This window comes from Homo sapiens, chromosome 14, assembly GCF_000001405.40.
Source record: "Homo sapiens chromosome 14, GRCh38.p14 Primary Assembly".
Lineage (NCBI taxonomy): Eukaryota > Metazoa > Chordata > Mammalia > Primates > Hominidae > Homo > Homo sapiens.
The window spans coordinates 96,340,463-96,362,431 of record NC_000014.9 but is presented as its reverse complement, the minus strand read 5'-3'; the positions used below and the strand labels follow the sequence as shown (position 1 = coordinate 96,362,431).

At 37.3% G+C, this 21,969-nt stretch overlaps 1 protein-coding gene across 1 annotated transcript in view, besides 1 other annotated feature; it reads left to right on the top strand.

The window, feature by feature from the left end:
- The window catches only part of ATG2B (autophagy related 2B), an 84,147-nt gene that overhangs the window by 910 nt on the left and 61,268 nt on the right, over window positions 1-21,969 (top strand). Inside the window, exons 2-6 of the mRNA NM_018036.7 lie at window positions 15,091-15,253; window positions 17,047-17,199; window positions 17,676-17,778; window positions 19,151-19,313; window positions 20,731-20,910. Of these exons, the coding sequence (NP_060506.6) occupies window positions 15,091-15,253; window positions 17,047-17,199; window positions 17,676-17,778; window positions 19,151-19,313; window positions 20,731-20,910 (762 nt within the window). The remainder of the gene's footprint in view (window positions 1-15,090; window positions 15,254-17,046; window positions 17,200-17,675; window positions 17,779-19,150; window positions 19,314-20,730; window positions 20,911-21,969) is intronic.
- Window positions 462-531: an enhancer, noted in NCBI's record as "active region_8985". NCBI's record gives its function as "activates an Ori minimal core promoter by ATAC-STARR-seq in GM12878 lymphoblastoid cells {active_cell/tissue: GM12878}" and the evidence as "EXISTENCE:reporter gene assay evidence [ECO:0000049][PMID:35858748]".

The following is a 21,969-nucleotide window of genomic DNA, read 5'->3' as shown; positions in this document are numbered from 1 at the left end:
TTAAGGATGAAGAGGACCTTTGGATGTCAGAATCCCTAGTTATTTGTTTTGGGTTGGCTGCTTGCGCACCATGTTTGCCTTGTTTGTCATCGTGCAGCGTTTGCCATCTGGAAGAAAGTTAGGTGAAGGCCTCTTGTGCCGGTTTGCCTGCTTTTGCTTGATTATATGTTTACAAGATAGGTTTGTGTATCCAGCCTGTGAATGGTCGTCTGGCCCTAGTAGTGCTGTTGAGTTATGCCTCTTTGCTCCACGTGACAGATCGTAAAAGCAGGTGTTGCAAAAGCGCTGAAGTTGCAATTTTCAGACATTTTAAAACCTGCCTTCTACTTGTCATCTAGAGGCTGTGAATTCACTCATTGCTATACAGGTGCTTCATCTGAATTTCGACTCACCACATGCAGTCGTACCTGCATTTGTGTGTTCAATGCATAGCATTTTACTTAAAGTATATTCACTTTTGGGTTTGACAGGAATAGAGTGACTTCTACCCTTTGCCCAACCCTTACTTCCTTAGCCACAGAAAATCTTAAATTATGGAAATACCTTATTATGACCCTTAAGCGAATTTGTGCTAGAGACTATAAATCAGTATATAATTTTATCAGTATGTACCTGACATAAACTAGGGAGAGGACACAAGATAGTGGAAAGAGCCCTGGTTTGAGAGCAGTAAGACCCAGTCGCTCACCAGGAGGTGAGAGTCCTACCCCTGGAGAGACTCTCCAGACCGCCACAATTAGCCGAGTGATAATGGACTTAGCAATTCACCTGAGTTCAGTAAACACTAATGGAGCACACACTTCATCTCTGTGTCGTCCGTCTTATGGTATTGTATTCCTGTAATTCTTCCAAAAGATAGGGATTCTGAAGGATATTTTTGAATTCAACAACCCATGATTCTATACTTTTGATACAGTTATGAATAGGTTATCTTGAAAAAAGAGGGTTCAGGATTTATTAATGCCTTTTGTGGGTGGAAGGGCTTTGTATGCATTATCCTTTAATGACTTTAACCCTATAAGGTGGGCATTAATATTTCCATTTTACAGATGGAGTTAAGCAGTTTGCCCCATCACACATCTAGCAAGTATTACATCACATGGCCTAAGATCAAAAGAAAGGCAGTTAATGTTTATTGAGTATGTATTTATGTCAGGCATTGTACTAGGCACTTTCATTTGTGAGGTTTTATTTAGTCCTTATGGGAAATCAGAGGTAGTGATATTTGAATTTTATAGTTTGAGTTCAGAATCATTGGCAAAATGATTTATTACTAAACTTAATCTGAGGATGATGTTTTGTTCTTGATGGGCGGGTTTTGTAAACTAAAATGATAATGTCAAAGCATCCAGTAAACATTTGCTGTTGCTGATTTATTTTCATGTGCTGTGTTGATGGTTAGGATAAATCTTAGTGTGACCCTTAGATACAGCTGTTCAGAGTTCTGATTCCAAATTCAGTTTATTTTCACACTTGATTTTTTTTTTTTTTTTTTTTTGGTAGAGGATTCATTCTCTTGCTTTGTTGCCAAAGCTGGTCTTGAACTCCTGGTTTCAAGTGGTCCTCCCACTTCTGCCTCCCAAGTGCTCAGATTACAGGCATGAGCCATAGGACCCAGCCAGATACTTGATTTTAATGACTTACATGACTGAAAAAAAGGTACCTTCGGAGATTCACAGATCCTAATGGAAAAACTGATGCTAATTGAAGAATTGCTGTACTCCTACTGTTTCAATTCTAAATGATCAATTATGCAAAGAATTTTGTTGAACTCAGCAATGACATTCCTTTCATTCCTGATCTCAATTAGTTTTTCTATTATGGCTAATTGACATTGCATATATACACACAATTAGGTTTAAAATTCAGTTTTTCAAGCTCTTTGTTCAGAAGACTTAGATTGGTTGGAATAGTCTTTTCATGTTTTTAAACATTTTGTAAACTATATAGATAATGACTTAAAAAATAAGCAATGTTTTTAATAGACATTGTTTTCAGCAACAAAATCATGGAACAATGGAAACATTTCCAAATACAGTTTTTCAAATGTTCTCCTCATAGTACAAGTAGTCTTTGAAAAGTGGTTGCTTTCTTACTCATTATTAAAGTGCTATCTTTATTTTGAAAAGACAGATTAAGTATGTTTTGTTTTTTGGAAAATATCTGCTAGGTAGCATGTACTACTGATAGTCATTGTCATAAATACATAAATAGTCAGTGGAGAATTCTTCTCTGTGTAAAAGGAAAATGCTTATCTTTAAATCCAACCCTTAAACACTTGGCCATAGGAGAAACCAGGAAACCAGAAGGTAATTGCCATTCACTTTCTCTTTACAAAGATTCTACTGTTTAAAGGTCTGGTTTTATTCTATAGAATGTATGTGGAAATGTTTCAGTGTGCAGAAGTGGAAGGAACATCCAACTGAGGGCACCACTCTTAATCCTTCTCTGTTGTGGAACTACTAGTTTTCTCTTTGTACCAGTTTGATATGTGGCTTGAAGGAAGGTGCCAGTGCCCATTTGTATATTAAATATAAGTACAACTTTTCAATCTAAATTTGGAAAATTTAATATAGAATGTCTCATTTTCCTCTCACATCCTTATGAATCATCTGATAATACTTTAGGATATATGCATCCAGTTTTGGAGATTACTACCTTAAACGTGGCATGAAGTGGAGGGAGAAATAGAGGCAAGGGGTTTGGGATTGTTCCATCATTGGAATAGACTGTCTAAAAATTTCATAAACTCCTTGTCCCTAGAAGTGGTTGAAATGGCAAAATGTTGAAAGGAGGAAATTCTATTTGGGGTGGGAAGTTGGATTTAATGACTCATTCCTTTTTAACTCTATGACTGTGCCTTTATTTTTGATTTTTAAATGGAATTTCTTTCATTAATCGATTCAGTACATTTATTGAGCTCTTAGCATGTGCCACTGTGAGGGGCTGGGGGATATAGCAGTGAACTAAACAAAGACCCTTTTCTTACAGGAGCTCAAGAAGATACACATTAACAATTTATTACACTGAGGCCTTTTATTTTATTTTTTTTTTGAGACAGGGTCTCACTCTGTCACCCAGACTGGAGTGCAGTGGCGTGATCTAGGCTTACTGCAGCCTCAACCTGCTAGGCTCAAGCGATCCTCCTACCTCTCCTCCCCTCCCTGCAGTAGCTGGGACTACAGGTGCATGCCACCACACCTGGCTACTTTTTGTATTTTTTGTAGAGACGGGATTTCGCCATGTTGCCCAGGCTGGTCTTGAACTCCTGGACTCAAGCAGTCTGCCCATGTCGGCCTCCCAAAGTGCTGGGATTACAGACGTGAGCCACCACGCCTGGCCACTGAGGCCTTTTAACTTCAGTTTAAGAATGTTTCGATTGCTGCTTATATTCTCTTGGTGTTTAATAAAATTATCTTCAGTTCAAGAAACATTGATTACTGATTATTTGTCAAAGGTCACCTGGAGACTAGAGTGTTACCTTCACTTTTTCTGTTTATATGCGTGAAACTCATTGATGATAATTGAAAGCAAAATACCCTTAAACAGAAGAATAAAAAGCTCTAAAGGACTCTATGGTGGGGCATTTATTTGCTGAGTAGTTCAGGTGTCTCCACTTTTAGTTTAAGAGTTATTTTCTCGTTAGCATAGTGGTGACTAAAAAAAAAAAAATACTTGATAGGACTGGTGAGGAAACACTTCATAGGACTGGTGTGGAAAATGTTGCTTGAGCCAAGTAGGTTGAGAATTTTTACTACTCATATACTATAGTAGCCTTGGATTTTCCCAGAATGACTGAATTTCAAGGTACCTTATGCTACAAGATATATGGGATTTTGCTCAAGTGGTTATAAGACTGGGCATAAATATAACCTATTTAAACATCTTATACTTAGGGAAATTATTTTGTAGCTTAGTGGTGCAATGTAAATTCTGGAACTGTTGACTCTCCAAAACTGTTAACATTTATCAGTTTTTTTCTTTTTTTCCTTTTCTTTCTTTAGAGACAGTCTCTGTTACCTAGGCTGGAGTACAGTGGTGTGATCAGCTCACTGCAGCCTCAAACTCATGGGTTCAAGCGATCCTCCAATCCAGCCTCCTGAGTAGGTGGGGACTACTGATGTACACCACCACACCCAGTTAATTTCTTTTAATTTTTGTAGAGACCGGATTTCACTATGTTGCCCAGGCTGATCTTGACCTCCTGGGCTCAAGTGATCCTCCCACCTCAGCCCCCCCCAGTTTCTGGAATTACAGGCATGAGCCACCGTACCAGGCCCCTTTAATATTACTCTTCACTGCTGTAATAAACCTTTTTGTATTTAGAGGTTTAACTTTATTTCAACTTCTCTGCCACAAAATTGGGACGAAAACTTGGTGTTTACTGAGAAGAGAGTTCCATCAAGTCCCGTTTCTCTCATAGTTGTCTAAGGTTGACAGTTTGCAGAAGCTAAGTCATTGCCTCCATATGTTTTAAACACTGTTAGGTTTTTAATAGTTCATTTTTACTATACAATTAATATATGCTCATTACAAAAAATTCAAACAGTAAAGAAATATATGAGGTATGAAGTAATAGAGCTTAATCCCATCTCTTCCAGAGATAACAATATGGTACAAAAGTTTCAAACTTTTAGTTGTGGAAATACTTAATACATGAAGCAAGCAGTTCTACTTACCTTTTGAAGTCTTTTATGATGGGCCATTTTTTTAATGGAATGTGTCAAACATTCTTAAAAAAAAAAAACTATGAAAAAATCTGAAAAACACAAGTAGAGGGAAGAACCTTGATGACCGTAACTTGTGGTACCTAGTTGATGGTGAAATAGGAAATTCTAGAGAAGGAGCAGGTTTTCTCCACTGTCTGGAGTTGGGAGTGGGAGGAGGAGATTGAGATTGGACAGAGAATAAGTTTTACTATATTGATTTTTGAGGGGGCTTTAGAATGTGGGGGCTTTAGATCCAGGTAGAGAAGCTCAGGAGGCACTGGGAATATACGTATAGGAAGATTGCAGTTGTAAAGATATGGGAGTTATCAGAGTATCAATAGTGAATAACAGTGGCAGGAGATGGAACTGCACAAAGTGCGTGGGTAGTAAGTAGATCAGCTTGAGAAACAAAAAAGGCCGAAGATGAAACTTAGATGAACTCCAACATTTTAAATTGTAAAGGATCAGAAAAAAGATTGAGAGAGTGAAGTGTTACAGAAGTCAAGGGAAGTTAGAATTTCAAAAAAGGTGAGTGGTCCTAGGAACTAGGTAGAGATGAGAATTCAATAAAGATGAGGACTAAATATTGTTTATTGCATTTGTCATTTTAATGGTGGTTACAAGCAGTTTCAGAGGAGCTGAGGGTTAGAAGGTCGCTTGTAGTTTGCAGTTTGAGCAGATAACTACCTTGACAGAGAAAATGGGGTTGATGGCTAGGGGGAACATGGAGCAAGGTTAGGGGTTTTAGTTTACTTTTGAAAATAATAATGATCATTTATTAAATACCTTCCATCTCTATATACTGTACTGTGTGGGTGCTTTTACATACATTATTTTACTCTAAATTGGGTACTAACTTTCTGTTTACTGTGAGGTTAAATAACTTACTCAAGCTTAGTATTAAACAGTGCAGCAAGGTTTGAAACCTGTCTTTCTGACTTTATATTTTTTTTTTGTACACCACACTGCCCCAGATTCAAGAAACTTGAGCTTCTCAGACATAACAGCACTGGGTTCACCTGGGAATTTGCTAACATTCAGGCTTCTGGCCCCTTCCATACAGATTTTGGCTCTAGAAATTCAAGAATCTGCATTTTTAATAAACATCCTAGGAGATTCTGATACATGTGATCCTTGACTGCATTTTTAAAAATACTTGCACTAAAGGAATGGAGAGTTTTTCCATTGCGTTTTAAAAGCTTGTTCTATGAGCCAGCCCCCAAACCAGTACTACGTTAAAAAAAATTATGATATGTTAACACATGATTTTGCTTAGCCTCCTGCAAAATCTTCCATGTGAAAATACATTTCTCTTTTTTGTGGGTTTCCGCAGTGATTAATTGAAGACCTTTTGCAAGTTACTTAGTTTTTCTGATCCTCAATTGCCATATTTGTAAAGTAGGCACAAAAATACCTAATTCGGAGGGTTATTATGAAGATTTAATGCAGGTGTAAATGTAGGTATAAAATAGTACACTCTAGTGTCCTGTTTGTAGTAGGTGCTGATGAAATGTTAATCTAAATTAGCTCATGCACTTTTTTTTTTTTTTTTGAGCCGCATTCTTGCTCTGTCACCCAGGTTGGAGTGCAGTGGCGTGATCTCAGCTCACTGCAAGCTCCGCCTCCCGGGTTTATGCCATTCTTCTGCCTCAGCCTCCCGAGTAGCTGGGACTACAGGCTCCCACCCCGACGCCTGGCAAATTTTTTTGTATCTTTAGTAGAGACGGGGTTTCACCATGTTAGCCAGGATGGTCTCCATCCCCTGATCTTGTGTTCCCCCGCCTCTGCCTCTCAAAGTGCTGGGATTACAGGTGTGAGCCACCGCCCTCAGCCAGCTCATGCGCGTTTTTATGCTCTGTCTTATCTCGATTTGAATTCTGATGCCTTGGTTTAAACTAATAAAGATGTATTCTTTGCCTAGTTAATCTATGGAATTACGTATTAAGAAGAAATATATAATTTAATGTTTGCTTTTTTTTCATATTGTCAAGCACACCTTGAGTTCCTTTATAGAGCTCATCATTGTACTAGGTAGGTACTGTGAAAGATAAAGACCAATGGCCCGCATTTAAAAAGTGTTTGCTTAGTACCAGGAACTATTAATATGTTGGTAGTTTTACATATATTACCTCATTAATGGTCACAGTAACTCTGTGGAGTTACTATTTCTATTTTATGGACCAGGAAATTGAGACTTGGAAATTAAGGATTTGTTCAGAGCCACCCAGCTAGCTAGTAAGTAACCTGAACATATGCTGTTTTAAAGGAGTGGGCTTCTCACACCTGCAACTATCTGATCTTTGACAAACCTGACACAAACAAGCAATGCGGAAAGGATTCCCTGATGGTGCTGGGAGAACTGGCTAGCCCTATGCAGAAAATTGAAACTGGACCCCTTCCTTACACCATATACAAAAATCAGCTCAAGATGAATTAAAGACTTAATTATAAAACCCCAAGCTATAAAAACCCTAAAAGAAAATCTAGGCAGTACCATTCAGGACATAGGCATGGGCAAAGATTTCATGATGAAGAAGCAAAAAGCAATTGCAACAAAAGCAAAAACTGAGAAATGGTTATCTAATTAAAGAGCTTCTGCACAGCAAAAGAAACTGTCATCAGAATGAACAGACAGCCTACAGAATGGGAGAAAATTTTTGCAAGCTATCCGTCTGACAAAGGTCTAAAATTCAGCATCTGTAAGGAACTTAACAAATTTACAAGAAAAAAACAACCCCATTAAAAAGTGGGCAAAGGATGTGAACAGACACTTCTGAAAAGACAACATACATGTGACCAACAAATGTGGAAAAAAAAGCTCAACATCACTGTCATTAGAGAAATGCAAATCAAAACCACAATGAGATACCATCTCGCACCACTCAAAATGGCTATTATTAAAAAGTAAAACAACAACAATAACAACAAAAACAAAACACACGGGCTGGTGAGATTGTGGAGAAAAAGGAATGCTTTTACACTGTTGATGGGAGTGTAAATTAGTTTAACCATTATGGAAGACAGTGTGGCGATTCCTCAGAGACCTAGAGGCAGAAATACCATTTGACCTAGCAACCTCATTACTGGGTATATACCCAAAGGAATATAAATTGTTCTATTATAAAGATATATGCACGCTTATGTTCATTGCAGTACTGTTGACAATAGCAAAGACACGGAATCAACCCAAATGCCCATCAGTGATAGACTGGATAAAGAAAGTATACATACACACAGTGGACTACTATGCAGCCATAAAAAGGAATGAGATCATGTCCTTTGCAGGCACGTGGATGGAGCTGGAAGCCGTTATCCTTGGCAGACTGATGCAGGAACAGAAAACCAAATACTGCATGTTCTCAAGTGGGAGCTGAATGATGAGAACACATGGACACATGGTGGGAACAACACCCACTGTGGCCTGTCAGAGGGTGAGGAGTGAGAGCATCAGGAAGAATAGCTAATGGATACTGGGCTTAATACTAAGTGATGGGATGATCTGTGCAGCAAACCACCATGGGACACATTTACGTATGTAACAAACCTGGATGTACTACACATGTATCCCTGAACTTAAAAGTTGGAAAAAATAAATGAAGGAGTGGTCTTTAACCATGTTTGCTCAATTATCTCTGAAATTTTTTTTAAAAAACTACATATTCCTTGTATGTTTAAAATTGACTTACTTTTTATTATAATTTTAAATAGTTGTAGAGAATAACTTGTTTAAATATTGATATTAAAATATAACTTTTTTCATCCAGTGGGATTTAAAAATCGTACACATTATCCGTTAAAAAATGCTTGAACAATCTCTTCATTAAAGTTGGAAATTTAACATCGTGTCTTTTTCCATTGAACTCCTGTGTCCATTTTACTTTGCAAGATTCCATTGTAATTTATATAGTTTATGCTTGTCTTTTATTGATCATGCTGCCATTTCTCTACAATAAAAACATATAAATTGAAATTGTTTATATTAAATTTTTTCTGTTGGCATTAGGCTTTCTTTTGCATTAAGCAAATATTTTCTAGTGTAACATTTTAATTCCTTTAATGATTTATATATATATATATATAAAATATGAAATTTTTTTGAGACAGATTCTCACTGTTTCGCCCTGGCTGGAATGCAGTGGCACAATCTCGGCTCTCTGCAACCTCAGCCTCCCAGGTTCCAGCGATTCTCGTACCTCAGCCTCCCGAGTAGCTGAGACTACAGGCCCATGTCACCATGCCTGGCTAATTTTTTGGGTTTTTAGTAGAGACAGGGTTTTACCATGCTGCCTAGGCTGGTCTTGAACTCCTGAGCTCAGGCAATCTGCCCACCTTGGCCTCTCAAAGTGCTAGGATTACAGGTGGGAGCCACCATGCCCAGCCCAGTATGTATTTTTAAATTGTTTCTTAGTGGTTGCTCTAGGGCTTACTATATTCATTTTATCAGTACAGTCATGTGTTGCTTAACGACAGGGATATGTTCTGAGAAATGGGTCATTAGGCAGTTTTGTTGTGTGAACGTCATAGTGTACTTGCCTAAACCCAGTGGTATAGCCTACTGTATACCTAGGCTATAGGGTACAGCCTATTGCTCCTAGGCTATACACCTGCACAGCATGTTACTGAATACTGTAGGCAACTGTGACACAATGGTATTTGTGTATCTAAACATAGAAAAGGTATGTACAAATATGGCATAAAATATAAAAAATAAAAATTTTAAAAAGATAAAAATTGATATGGCTGTATGGGGCACTTACCATGAATGGAGCTTGCAGGACTAGAAATTCCTCTGAGTGAGTCAGTGAGTGAATGTGAAGGCCTAGGACATCACTGTCCACTACTGTAGACTTTATAAACACTGTACACTTCGGCTAGAATAAACACTGTACACTTCGGCTAGACTATATTAATAAAGACATCTTTTTTTTTTCAATAATAAGTTAACCTGAGGTTACAGTAACTTTATAAACTTTAAAAAAATTTTTGAACTTTTTGTTTCTTTTGTAATAACATTTAGCTTAAACACACATTGTACAGCTATGCAAAAATACTTTTTCTTTATATTCTTATGCTATAAGCATTTTTTTGTATTTTTAATTTTTTTTTTTAATTTTTAAACTTTTTTGTCAAAAACTAAGACGCAAAAAAACACAGCCTAGGCCTACACAGGGTAAGGATCATCAATGTCACCACCTTCTACCTCCACATCTTGTTCCACTGGAAGGTCTTCAGGAACAGTAACATGCATGGAGCTGTCCTTTCCTATGATAACAATGCCTTCTTCTGGGTACCTCCTGAAAGAACTGCCTGAGCCTGTTTTACAGTTAACTTTTTTTTTTTTAAAGTAGGAGTATACTCTAAAATAATGATTAAATTGTATAGTATAGGTATTAAAACAGAAGCCGGTAGCATAGTTGTTTATTATCACCCTCGAGTATTATGTACTGTGTATAACTGTTTGTGCTAGACTTATGACTGGCAGAGCAAGAGGTTTATTTACACCAGCATCACCACAGACATGTGAGTAATGTGTTGTGCTACATTGCCTTATGATGGCTGCGATGTCACTAAGGTGATAGGAATTTTTCAGCTCCATTATAATCTTACAGGACCACTATCCTATACATGGTCTGTCATTGACCAGATGTCCTTCTGTGATGCATAACTTTATTTCCTTCAGATAATCATGGGGCTTTAAGTGTTACTTTTCTTCTGGATTGTGTTGTAATTACAATTATTGTTAAGTGTATAGTTGATCAAAACAGTATAAATTTATGCATTTTGATAAGCATAAAAATTTTTTTTTCTTTTTTTTTTTTTTGAGACAAGGTCTTGCTGTGTCACCCAGGCTTGGGTGCAGTGGGTGATCACAGCTCAACCGCAGCCTTGACCTCCTGGGATCAAGCGATTATCCCCACCTTAGCCCGCCAAGGAGCTGGGACTACAGGCACGGGCTACCATGCCATCTAATTTTTTTTTTTTTTTTTGAGACGGAGTCTTGCTCTGCCGCCCAGGCTGGAGTGCAGTGGCGCGATTTCGGCTCACGGTAACTTCCGCCTCCCGGGTTCAAGTGATTCTCCTACCTCAGCCTCCCGAGTAGCTGGGATTAAAGGCGTGGGCCACCATGCCTGGCTAATTCTTGTACTTTTAGTAGAGACAGGGTTTCACCATGTTGGCCAGGCTGGTCTCAAACTCCTGACCTCAGGCAATCTGCCTGCCTCAGCCTCCCAAAGTGCTGAGATTACAGGCTTGAGCCACTGCGCCTGGCCAATTTTTGTATTTTTTGTAGAGACGAGTTTCACCATGTCTCCCAGGATGGTCTCAAATTCCTGGACTCAAGCAATCCTTCTGCCTCAGTCTCCAAAATTGCTGGGACTACTGGCATGAGCCACTGTACCCAGCAAACATAAAAACTTTTACTGGAAATAAATTTCTTAATGATAGAGGTTGGTTGTGATCCCCTCCTCCCTAATTTGTTAGTGCATCCATAGGTGAATATACTTATAGCTGGAATTCAGCAGGGCTCGGCACACATTTTATTCTAAATTAAAATGTAGATACAAGCTTGAGAAATACTGATGTTATAAATCAGTAGATGAGAATTGAGAGATTTTGCAGGAGCAACATCACTGAGTTCTTTGAATTTCTGAGTGTCATGCCAAAAAAAGTATAAGATGGGAAAAGATAGAAAATGTACTGCTGGCCCTGTCTGGAGGTTTTTATACCTTAGACAGTACATAAGGGAGAATTTCTGAAGAGAGGAAGAATATGGCTATTTTGGCTAAATGGGAGAAGGAAGATTGTACAAGGAACTATGGGACAGGAGACCCAGCATGATGCCACCACTGTCTGTAGTCTTCTCAGTCCATTTTAGGAAAGAATATGTTTGGATGCTTATACCTTAAAACCATCCATGCCCATGTACTACTGGGAAAGTCTTTAGGATTATGCAAATGTCAGCATGAAGAAAGCCTTTTAAAGTAGTGATCTCCAAAAATAAAACGAGCCGATCAAGTCTCACTATTCAACACTAGGGTACAGACAAAGAATTATACTACCCTATGCAATATAGCATGCAGGAAGCACTTTACATATAAGCTGGCGTTTAATAAATATGTTATTTTAATTTGAAAAGTAAATTGTCTTTTAAAAATCGCATTTACGTTCTTTCTGTCTGTCTCCTGTTGTAGTCTGGTTTGCTCCACCATGCCACTGAAATTGCAGTTAATGGGATCACTAGTACTTTAAATATTACTGATTTCAGTAGACATTTAAAAATCTTTGACTTCTTGTTAGCTTTTGTTGAGCTTGACCACTCTTCTCTGTCATGTTGTTCTTCCATGATTTTCTGGGACATGAACCTCTTTCAATTTTCCTTCTATGTCTCTGTTTGCTTTTTTCTAGTTTCTTCTGCAGGCTCCTCTTTCATAACCCTTTTCTTAAATATTGGTGTCTATGAGTTCTGTCTTAAGCCACCTCTCATTTTACACTGTATAAGTTCCCAAACATTTCTCTCCTCGTGCTGTGGCTTCAGTTACCCATTTGTTTATTATTTTATTATTTTTTTGAGACAGGGTCTTACTAAGTTGCTCAGACTGGAGTATAGGGGCACAGTCTTGGCTCACTATAACCTCTGCCTCCCGGGCTTAAGCATTCCTCCCACCTCGGCTTCTCAAGTAGCTGGGATTACGGGTATGTGCCACTACACCTGGTTAATTTTTGAATTTCTTGTAGAGTCAGGGTTTTGATGTGTTGCCCAGGCTGGTCTCAAACTGCTCAGCTCAAGATCCTCCCGCCTTGGCTTCCCAGTGTTGGAGTTAAAGGCGTGAGTCACCATACCTGACCTACCCTCTGTGTTTGTAATGTTAATCTGTATCTCCCACCCAGATGGCTCTCCTGAGCTCTAGCTGGAGGAAGCTCCAGCTTCCTCCTTAGCACCTCTACCTAGATGTCTCCTTAAATGTGTACTTTGGAAGTGAACTTCTCATCTTCCCTCTAACCTGCTTCCCTGTGTTTCTGTATCTCAGTAAATGACACCTCTATCTAAGCAATTGCCCAAGCCAGCCTCCTAAGTGTCATTCATAATTCTTTCTTTCTTTTACCCCTCATGATGCCAATTAATCATTCTACTTCCTAAATATGTTACAAAAATTTATCCACTTGTGACTGTCCTCAGTGTTGCTATCTGTGCCAAACCAGCCTCTCTAGCTTCTATTACTCATAACAGCCTTCCTGCTGGCATCTTCCCTTCATGCTGTACATGGCAACTGAAGGGGCCCACTCAAAGTTTGAATCTCATCATGGCGTCCTTGCTTAAAGCCCTTCAGTGGCTTCACATCACCCTTAAGATAAATTTCAGACGCTTTAACATGCATTACAAGGCTCTTTGGATCCTACTCCTCTTTATCTACATAGCCTTGTCTCTGGGTCTTCGCCCTGGCACACTGAAGCCTAAAGCAACTTTTCTTTTTCAAATACTGCGATGTATCAAATATGCCTGCATGTATTTCTTTGACTTCTGCTTTCTTTGAATCCTTCCACATGCTTTGTTTTTGCCTGGACCATTTTGCCTGATTAACTCCTTCTGGTCTTCTGGTCCCAGCTTAAAATAGCACTCCTTCAAGTGGGCTGCCTTGAATCTGCAGGTTAGGTTCTATTATGTGTTCAAATAGCACAGTGTGTTTCCTCTGTATATAATCATCACACTTTAATTACTTGTCTCTTTCATGGTATACTATCTTGTAAGCTTAGTGAGGACCGAGATCATCTTTATCTTGGTCTCTGCTTTCTTTTTAATTTTTAACTTTTAATTTTTGTGGGTACATAGTAGGTATATATATTAATGGGGTACGTGAGATATTTGACACAGGCATACAATGCCTAATAATTACATCAGGGTAAAAGGGGTATGCATCACCTCAAGCATTTATCCTTTGTGTTACATATAATTCAGTTGTGCTCTTTTAGATATTTAAAAATGTACAATAAATTATTGACTGTAGCCACCTTGTTGTACTATTAATTACTAGATCTTACTCATTTTTTTTTTTTTTTGAGATGGAGTCCCCTGTCGCCCAGGCTGGAGTGCAGTGGCTCACTGCAGCCTCCGCCTCCTGGGTCCAAGTGATTCTTTTGTTTCAGCCTCCCAAGCAGCTGGGATTACAGGCACGTCCTACCACGCCTGGCTAATTTTTGTAATTTTAGTAGAGACGGGATTTCACCATGTTGGCCAGGCTGGTCTCGAACTGCTGACCTCGAGAGATCTGCCCGTCTCAGCCTCCCAAAGTGCCGGGATTATAGGTGTGAGCCACCATGCCTGGCCCTTGGGCTTATTCATTTTAACTATATTTTTGTACCCATTAACCATCCCTGCTACCCTACTACCATTCCCACCCTCTGGTAACCATCCTTCTGCTATCACCATGAGTTCAATTGTTTTAATTTTTAGCTTCCATAGATAAGTGAGAACATGCAAAGTTTGTTTTTCTGTGCCTGGCTTATTTCATATAACATAATGACCTCTAGTTCCATTCATGTTGTTGCAAATGACAGGATCTTATTCATTTTCATGGCTGAATAGTACTCCATTGTGTATATGTACCACATTTTCTTTATCCATTCATCTGTTAATGGACACTTAGGTTGCTTCCAAATCTTGGCTATTGTGAATATTGCTGCAGTAAACATGGGAGCGTGGATATCTCTTCCATAAACTGATTTCCTTTTTTGGGGGCTATACCTAACAGTGGGATTGCCGAATCATATAGTAGTTCTATGTTTAGTTTTTTTGAGGAACCTCCAAATTGTTCTCCATAGTGGGTGTAATAATTTACAATTCCACCAACAGTGTATGAGGGTTGCCTTTGCTCCACATCCTCTCCAGCATTTGTTAATTGCCTGTCTTCTGGATAGAAGCCATTTTAACTGTAGTGAGATGATATCTCATTGTAGTTTTCATTTGTGTTTCTCCGATGGTCAGTGATGTTGAGCACCTTTTCACATGCCTGTTTGCCATTTTATGTCTTCTTTTGAGGAATGTCTATTCAAATCATTTGCCCATTTCTTAGTAGGATTATTAGATTTTTTTCCTGTAGAGTTGTTTGAGCTCCTTATATGTTCTGATTAGTAATCCTGGGTCAGATAGATAGTTTGCAAATATTTTCTGCCATTCTGCGGGTTATCCCTTCACTTTGTTAATTGTGTCCTTTGCTGTGCAGAAGCATTTGTCCACTTTTGCTTTGATTGCCTGTACTTGTGGAAGTCTCTGCTTTCTTTATACCTAGTGCCTAACATGTGTGGGCATATTTGACACCTTTGAATAAGTTCACAACTTTGTGTTCTTGTTCTTGTGATTCATAATGAACCTGTTTTTTCTCCTTAGTGTCTCAATGAGATCTTGGAGTCAGCAGATGCACCCTTAGAAGTCACTGAAGGATTCATTCAGTCAATTTCCCTGTCAGTTCCATGGGGCTCTTTACTGCAGGATAATTGTGCACTGGAAGTGAGAGGATTAGAAATGGTCTTCCGGCCTAGACCTCGCCCAGGTTGGTGTGTTGTATGTTTCTGTTTTATGTGTTTTTATTCTTCAGAGACTGGGAAAGTAACCTGATTACCTTAAATTTAGTATTTTTGCTTTGTATTTGTGAAATTTTCAGTTGATAATACATTACGACTTGGCTCTTTGTAGAATGTGCATGTTTACAAATTTAGAGTTGTTTCTTTCCCCGATTTTTCACAGAAACTTTAGTATACAGATTGTTTGGTTTATTTAATTATTTGTTATCAGTTATCTAAAATGAGACTTGGGTTTTAAAGATTCAAAAAGTATTGTGCCAGAAAGCAAAGAAGAATGCTCAAAGATTGTTGGAAAAATGTTAAAGGGACACAGGATTGAGTGTCAGGGGGCTTCCCTTGGCCATATTTGGGAAAATTTGAGTATTACAAAGAATGATGACAATAATGGTTTATAACACATGAAATAAAAAATCTCTAGGACCATACTGATACAGATAAATCAGTATGTAAGGTGGACAGGGAGAAGGAATGCTCTTCTTTATAGCAGAATAGCTACTTATAAATAGAGAAAAAAATGATAGAATTAGATAGAATTGACAATCTAGGTGACAGGTATGTTGGTATGCAATGACAGAATTATAATCCCAAGTACTGCCCAAAACATGAAAGTTTAAATTATATTTAGTAGAATTAAAGTGAAACTCTGTATTTTGAAAACCGATTATGCATGCATGGAAATCGTCTTTAGTAATCTGGCATTTAATTTACAAGAATATTCTATCTTTTAACTATGATGAGTGGATATAATATTTTTCTATGGGAAGGCAAACTTTCAAATATTTTTCTCTTTAAAGCATTCCATTAGAAAGACTTTTAAATTCCATTTTGGAAGGCAGTAATTCTTGCAATCTCTGTCACTTTGCTTTGAATAATGTAGGGAGGTGTGGGGAGAATTTTCTCATGAGGGAAGATCTGGAAATGATTTTTCACATCTCATATGTTTCCTCCTCCAAGGATGCTCTTTTATTTTATCTACATATATACTAATTTCCAAAGCCTGTATCATCTACTACTTCTGCCACATTTCCTGTTAATTTTCTCAGCTAGAAGGAAATAATTAACTAAAGAAGAATTAACCTCTTCTTTTAGCTTTCATAATGTTTTCTGTTGACATTCAATAGTTGTCTACTAATCGTATCTTATTTCTTTAACTATATAGTAGGTTCTCTGAGGGCAGAATTTACTATTATTTTTTCTACTTTCAACAGCAGGGTTAGTAAACTATAACCTGCAGGCCAAATTGGTCCTGTCGTCTGTTTTTGTTAATAAAGTTTTATTGGAACACAGCCATGCTTATTTGTTTATTTACTTTAATGGCTGTTTTGTGCTATAATATGAGAGTTGAGAAGTTGTGATACAGACCATATGGCCCACAAAATATAAAATATTTACTGTCTGACCCTTTACAGAAAAAAGTATGTCAACCCCTGCTTATAATATTTAGAACAGTTCCATGCATCTGTAGGATATCCATTAAGTATTTGTTGAATGAATACATGAATTGATATTTGGTAAAATATAACATGTTGTGAGAGCACATTCTCTGGACTTTTTTCTGTGATCTTTTTTTCCTTCTTGGTTATTATAAGGTGATTTTAAATCTCAAGAGTACTTTCTAGAATATTGTTTACCTGGGTAACATCATGATGTTAAAAATCTCTTAAAAGATTAAGAATTTGTCTATTTGAAATGTATTATTTTAAGAACTGGCATTGTTGTAACTCTTAAGAAATTATTTAGGATTAATTTATATTTTCCACAGCAACTGGTTCTGAGCCTATGTATTGGTCAAGTTTTATGACCAGCAGTATGCAATTGGCAAAAGAATGTCTTAGCCAGAAACTAACAGATGAACAAGGAGAAGGATCCCAGCCTTTTGAAGGACTTGAAAAGTTTGCTGAAACCATTGAAACAGGTTTGGTGTTACTGAGAATTTTCAAAAATTTAGATTTGATTTAGTAGTTTTGTACCTTCATGTAATAAGCTTTGTATAAGGCAAATCCATTGGAATGGATTTTTAAAAGAATTACTGTTCCCACTTCAGAACTTTAGAATTGAGGTATTTTAAATATTCCATTTAATTGCATGTTGTTTTTTTTTTTGTACCTTAGTTTCTCCATTTATTATGCTTGCATAGTGAATGGATTAGAATATAACAGATAGTGTTAGTCGTTGTCCCAAGCATCTGTTGAGATGTAACATGGTTAAGTGCTCAGTAAGACAAAATATTTATTACAAAACTCAGGATTTAAGGATTTTAATGGAAAGAAATTCAGCTTCTTTATTTTGTAAACAAAAGTTCTTATCAAACTAGTACTTATTTATTTCTTTGGAGGTTTTTATTTAGCATATATGTGGTCTCTTACGTTGACAATTACTTGTTTACTTTAGTACTAAGAAGAGTAAAAGTCACTTTTATAGATACTGTTTTGAGAATTGAACATGTGCCAGAAAATTCCAAAACTGGAACTGCACTTGAAATTCGAATAGAAAGGTAAGAATTCTTATGTCTGAAAATAAATGACCCTATTGTAACTCTGATATTACATTTTCAGGGAGGTTTTGGAGATTAGAGCTAATGATATGAAAATATTGCATAATTTCAGAGTAAAGTGCTGCTCTTCAAGTTATTTGCTAATTTTATTATTCTAATTCCCTTATTGAAAACTTGAAAGTGCCAGTTGGGGTATAATTATATATAATACCATGTTGAATTTAAAGCAAGTTATTCTGTTTTAGTTAATATCAGATCAGAATAATAAGCATTTGAGTGCCACTGAATTTAAGGCTTTCCTGTGGGAAAGTTTCAGTTTTTTCATATTAACAATGCAATATTTAGGCATATTTCATTAACGTGAAAGACATTTTTGTTTTGCTGTGCTTAATCTAAGTGCTGCTTTAGTGAGAAAGGCTAAGGCCACTGTTTTGAGGATCCTCTACGGATTATTTTAAGGTTAATATGTGCAATATTTACTTAAAAAAATATAAGTACGTTGCTTTTAGTTTTTTGCATATGCCCACTTGAAGCTCTTATACATAGCTGTAAAGCAAGGTTAATTTACATACATACACCTAAGCATTGATTTGAGGCAGTAACTGGTCACCCGTGTGTTAATGCTGTATGAACTGCCAACAGAAATGAGCAGGATGAAGCGTGTACACTGCATGAGCACCAGAGACACTTCGTACATGGATCTACTGGGGGTCTCTACTGAATTTTAAGCAGCTGTGTTAAGATTTCTGTCTTTCACAAAACACCTATTAGTAAAACAGTTATTGTTAGCAGATCTTTGGAATAAGGGTCCATTGCCTTAAATAGTAGATTTAAAAAAATCTAAAATTTCATGCATTTAGAACCACCTTATGTGTTTTGTTTAAACTGAAAATTAGTCACATATAGGAATTCAAGAAACGTCATTTGTGACTTGGAGCCAAATGCTGTCACACTGTTACCAAGAGATGTTTTGTGGGGGAGTACAGGAATTGTTTTCCTTAAAACTAACTTAAGGGAGTTATTAATTTTTTTCTCTCAATTTAAGCCTCATAAAGTTACCTTTTTGGAGTTAAGACCTCTTCATGAAAATATTTATGGTAGTAAAGCATGGTGAGACTGACCATATTATAGGCATATTCTAAGAAGTGCTAACACTTGAAAAAACCCCTTAACTTAAAAAAGCTATGTGCGTTTCTTATTGTAAATAGGTTTTCCTAGGAGATTTTATTTATTTATTTATTATTATTATTATACTTTAAGTTTTAGGGTACATGTGCACAATGTGCAGGTTAGTTACATATGTATACATGTGCCATGCTGGTGCGCTGCACCCCTAGGAGCTTTTTGTAAATGCTTTTTAAAAAAATTTCAGAACTGTGTACTGTGATGAAACTGCTGACGAATCCTCAGGAATTAATGTGCATCAACCCACTGCTTTTGCTCACAAGTTACTTCAGCTCTCTGGAGTGTCTCTCTTCTGGGATGAGTTTTCTGCATCAGCCAAATCTTCCCCAGTGTGTTCAACTGCACCAGTGGTAAGAAAAAACAAAAACCCTAAAACCATAATCATAGATTTTTTAAAAGGTTTAAATGGGGGCTATTAAATTTTGCTAGGATGTATAATATGTCTTAATGAATCTCTGTCTTGAGATTTAATGCAAATATTCAGTAATGGTAATATATGTTTCAGAGATTTGAAAATACTAATATTTATATTCCTACCAGTGTGCTGTGTATTAGTTTGAAAGAGAAATGTTGGGTACTGTATCTTGGGGGAAAATGGTGTAGAAGTTGAGTATCTCTTATTCAAAATGCTGGGACTGTGTTTCAGATTTTTGAATATTTTTATAGACATAATGAGGTATCTTGGGGATGAGACCCAAGTGTAAATACAAAACTCATAAAACTCATTTATGTTTGTTTTTTTTTTTTTTTTGGAGAGAGTCTCTTGTCGCCCAGGCTGGTGTGCAGTGGCGCAATCTCGACTCACTGCAACCTCCACCTCGCAGGTTCAAGGGATTCTCCTGCCTCAGCCTCCTGAGTAGCTGGGATTACAGGCACATGCTACCATGCCCGGCTAATTTTTGTATTTTTAGTAGAGACGGGGTTTCGCAACGTTGGCCAGGCTGGTCTCGAACTCCTGACCTCAGGCGATCCACCTGCCTCAGCCTCCCAAAGTGCTGAGATTACAGGCGTGAGCCACCACGTCTGGCCCATTTATGTTTCATATATGCCTTATACACATAGCCTGAAGGTAATTTTATACAATATTTTCAATAATTTTGTGCATGAAACAAATATTTGACTGCAGCCCATCACGTGAGGTCAGGTGTATTTTCCTGACCTTGTGGGAGTGTCATGTTGGCACTCAAAAAAGTTTTGGATTTTGGAGCATTTTGGATTTTGGGTTTTTGGTTTAGAGATGTTTAGCCTATATTAACGTCTAATTTTTTTTTTTTTTACAATCAAAACAGAGGAAATTAAGCAGTGTGCAAATTTACCTTACATAGTGACTGTATTGATGAAATTTTATTCTACAAATCATCTCTTTAAAAAGCTTTATAATTAAGGAACTCTGTTAAATCCCTTCCAAGAGGAGAGTCCTTTTATAAGTCAGTCACTGTATAATTTGCCTTTTTTGTTATTTTACAAATCAGATTTTCTTAATTATACAGTGCCCATTAGGTTTTCTTACTGCTGTAACTTGAACAGATACTGTGCTTTTTTTCATGAAGTCCTTTTTCATGACTTGCTTTTATTACCAGTGGACTGTGCTAACATTTTAGTGGACTGTGTTTCATTTTAGCTATACGATACTGGTTTGTCCATTGTAACATCATACAGTTTTACATGTCAAATATTTTATTCTTCTTAAGTTGACATTTATATTTTACATTTCATTTTATTTATATGAAAGTATTTTAAATAATTATTTTTGTCACTTTATTGTAGGAAACTGAGCCAAAGCTCTCACCTAGCTGGAACCCCAAAATTATTTATGAGCCACACCCACAGCTAACTAGAAATTTACCAGAGATAGCACCTTCTGACCCAGTGCAGATTGGACGGTTAATTGGTAGGTTGGAGTTGAGTCTCACGTTGAAACAGAATGAAGTGCTTCCTGGAGCTAAGGTCAGTGTTTGTTTCACTTTCTGTAGTAAAACCAAAATAAAAGTACAAGTATTCTTTATTCTATGCAGTGATTCACTGATTGATTACTGCAGATTATCCTGTAACTAGTGTACTGCTGTCACCGAGTTAGCATTTTTACTCTCAGTTGATGCTTCTATCCTAGGTCACAAAATTTATGTGAGGACTGCCTTTGCCCTACTGTTGCAGCTCAAGTTTTATAAAGAGTTGCCTTCTACACTCACTCTCCCGTATTCCGACAATTCGAAACTGACAAACCTCTCTTTTTGGTATTAAACATGGTTTCATTAGTTCAGATAACTAGGAATTTATTTAAAAAATTCTTTCTATTTTCATAAAATTAAGTTTAAAGGAAAAGAGATTTGGCAAGCAAGAAATCTGTAGAAGATGTTTTTATAATTATATGTATGTAAAAATATCTACCCATCTATTTTGAACAGAATGACCATTTTTATATAGTTGTATAATATTTGTGAAAAGAGATAGACTTTTTCCATTGTCTCATAGCTTTAAAATTTTTTGACATAAAATAAACCTATATAATATATCATCTTTCATTCTTTTTTTTTTTTTTTTTCGAGATGGGGTCTCCCTCTGTTGCCCAGGCAGGGGTGCAGGGGTGCAGTGACAAGATCTTGGCTCACTGCAGCCTCGACTTCCTGGGCTCAAGCAACCCTCCCGCCTCAGCCTCGCAAGTAGCTGGGGCTACAGGCACATGCCACCATGCCTGGCTAATTTTTGTATTATGTTTTTTGTAGAGACAGGGTCTCACTATGTTGCCCAGGCTGGTCTTGAACTCCTGGGCTGAAGCAGTCCTTCTTGCTCAGCCTCCCAAAGTGTTGGGATTATAGGCATGAGCCACCTCACCAGGACCCTTTACTATTTTTAAGTGTAAGTTAAGTGATAATCAGTATATTTATATTCTTTTTCCCTTCATTTCCCCACTGTTCCCAGCCTCTGGTAACCATCAGTCTACTCTTCGTGAGTAGGGGAATCTTCATGAGATCCCCTTTTTTAGCTCCTGCCTATGAGTGAGAACAT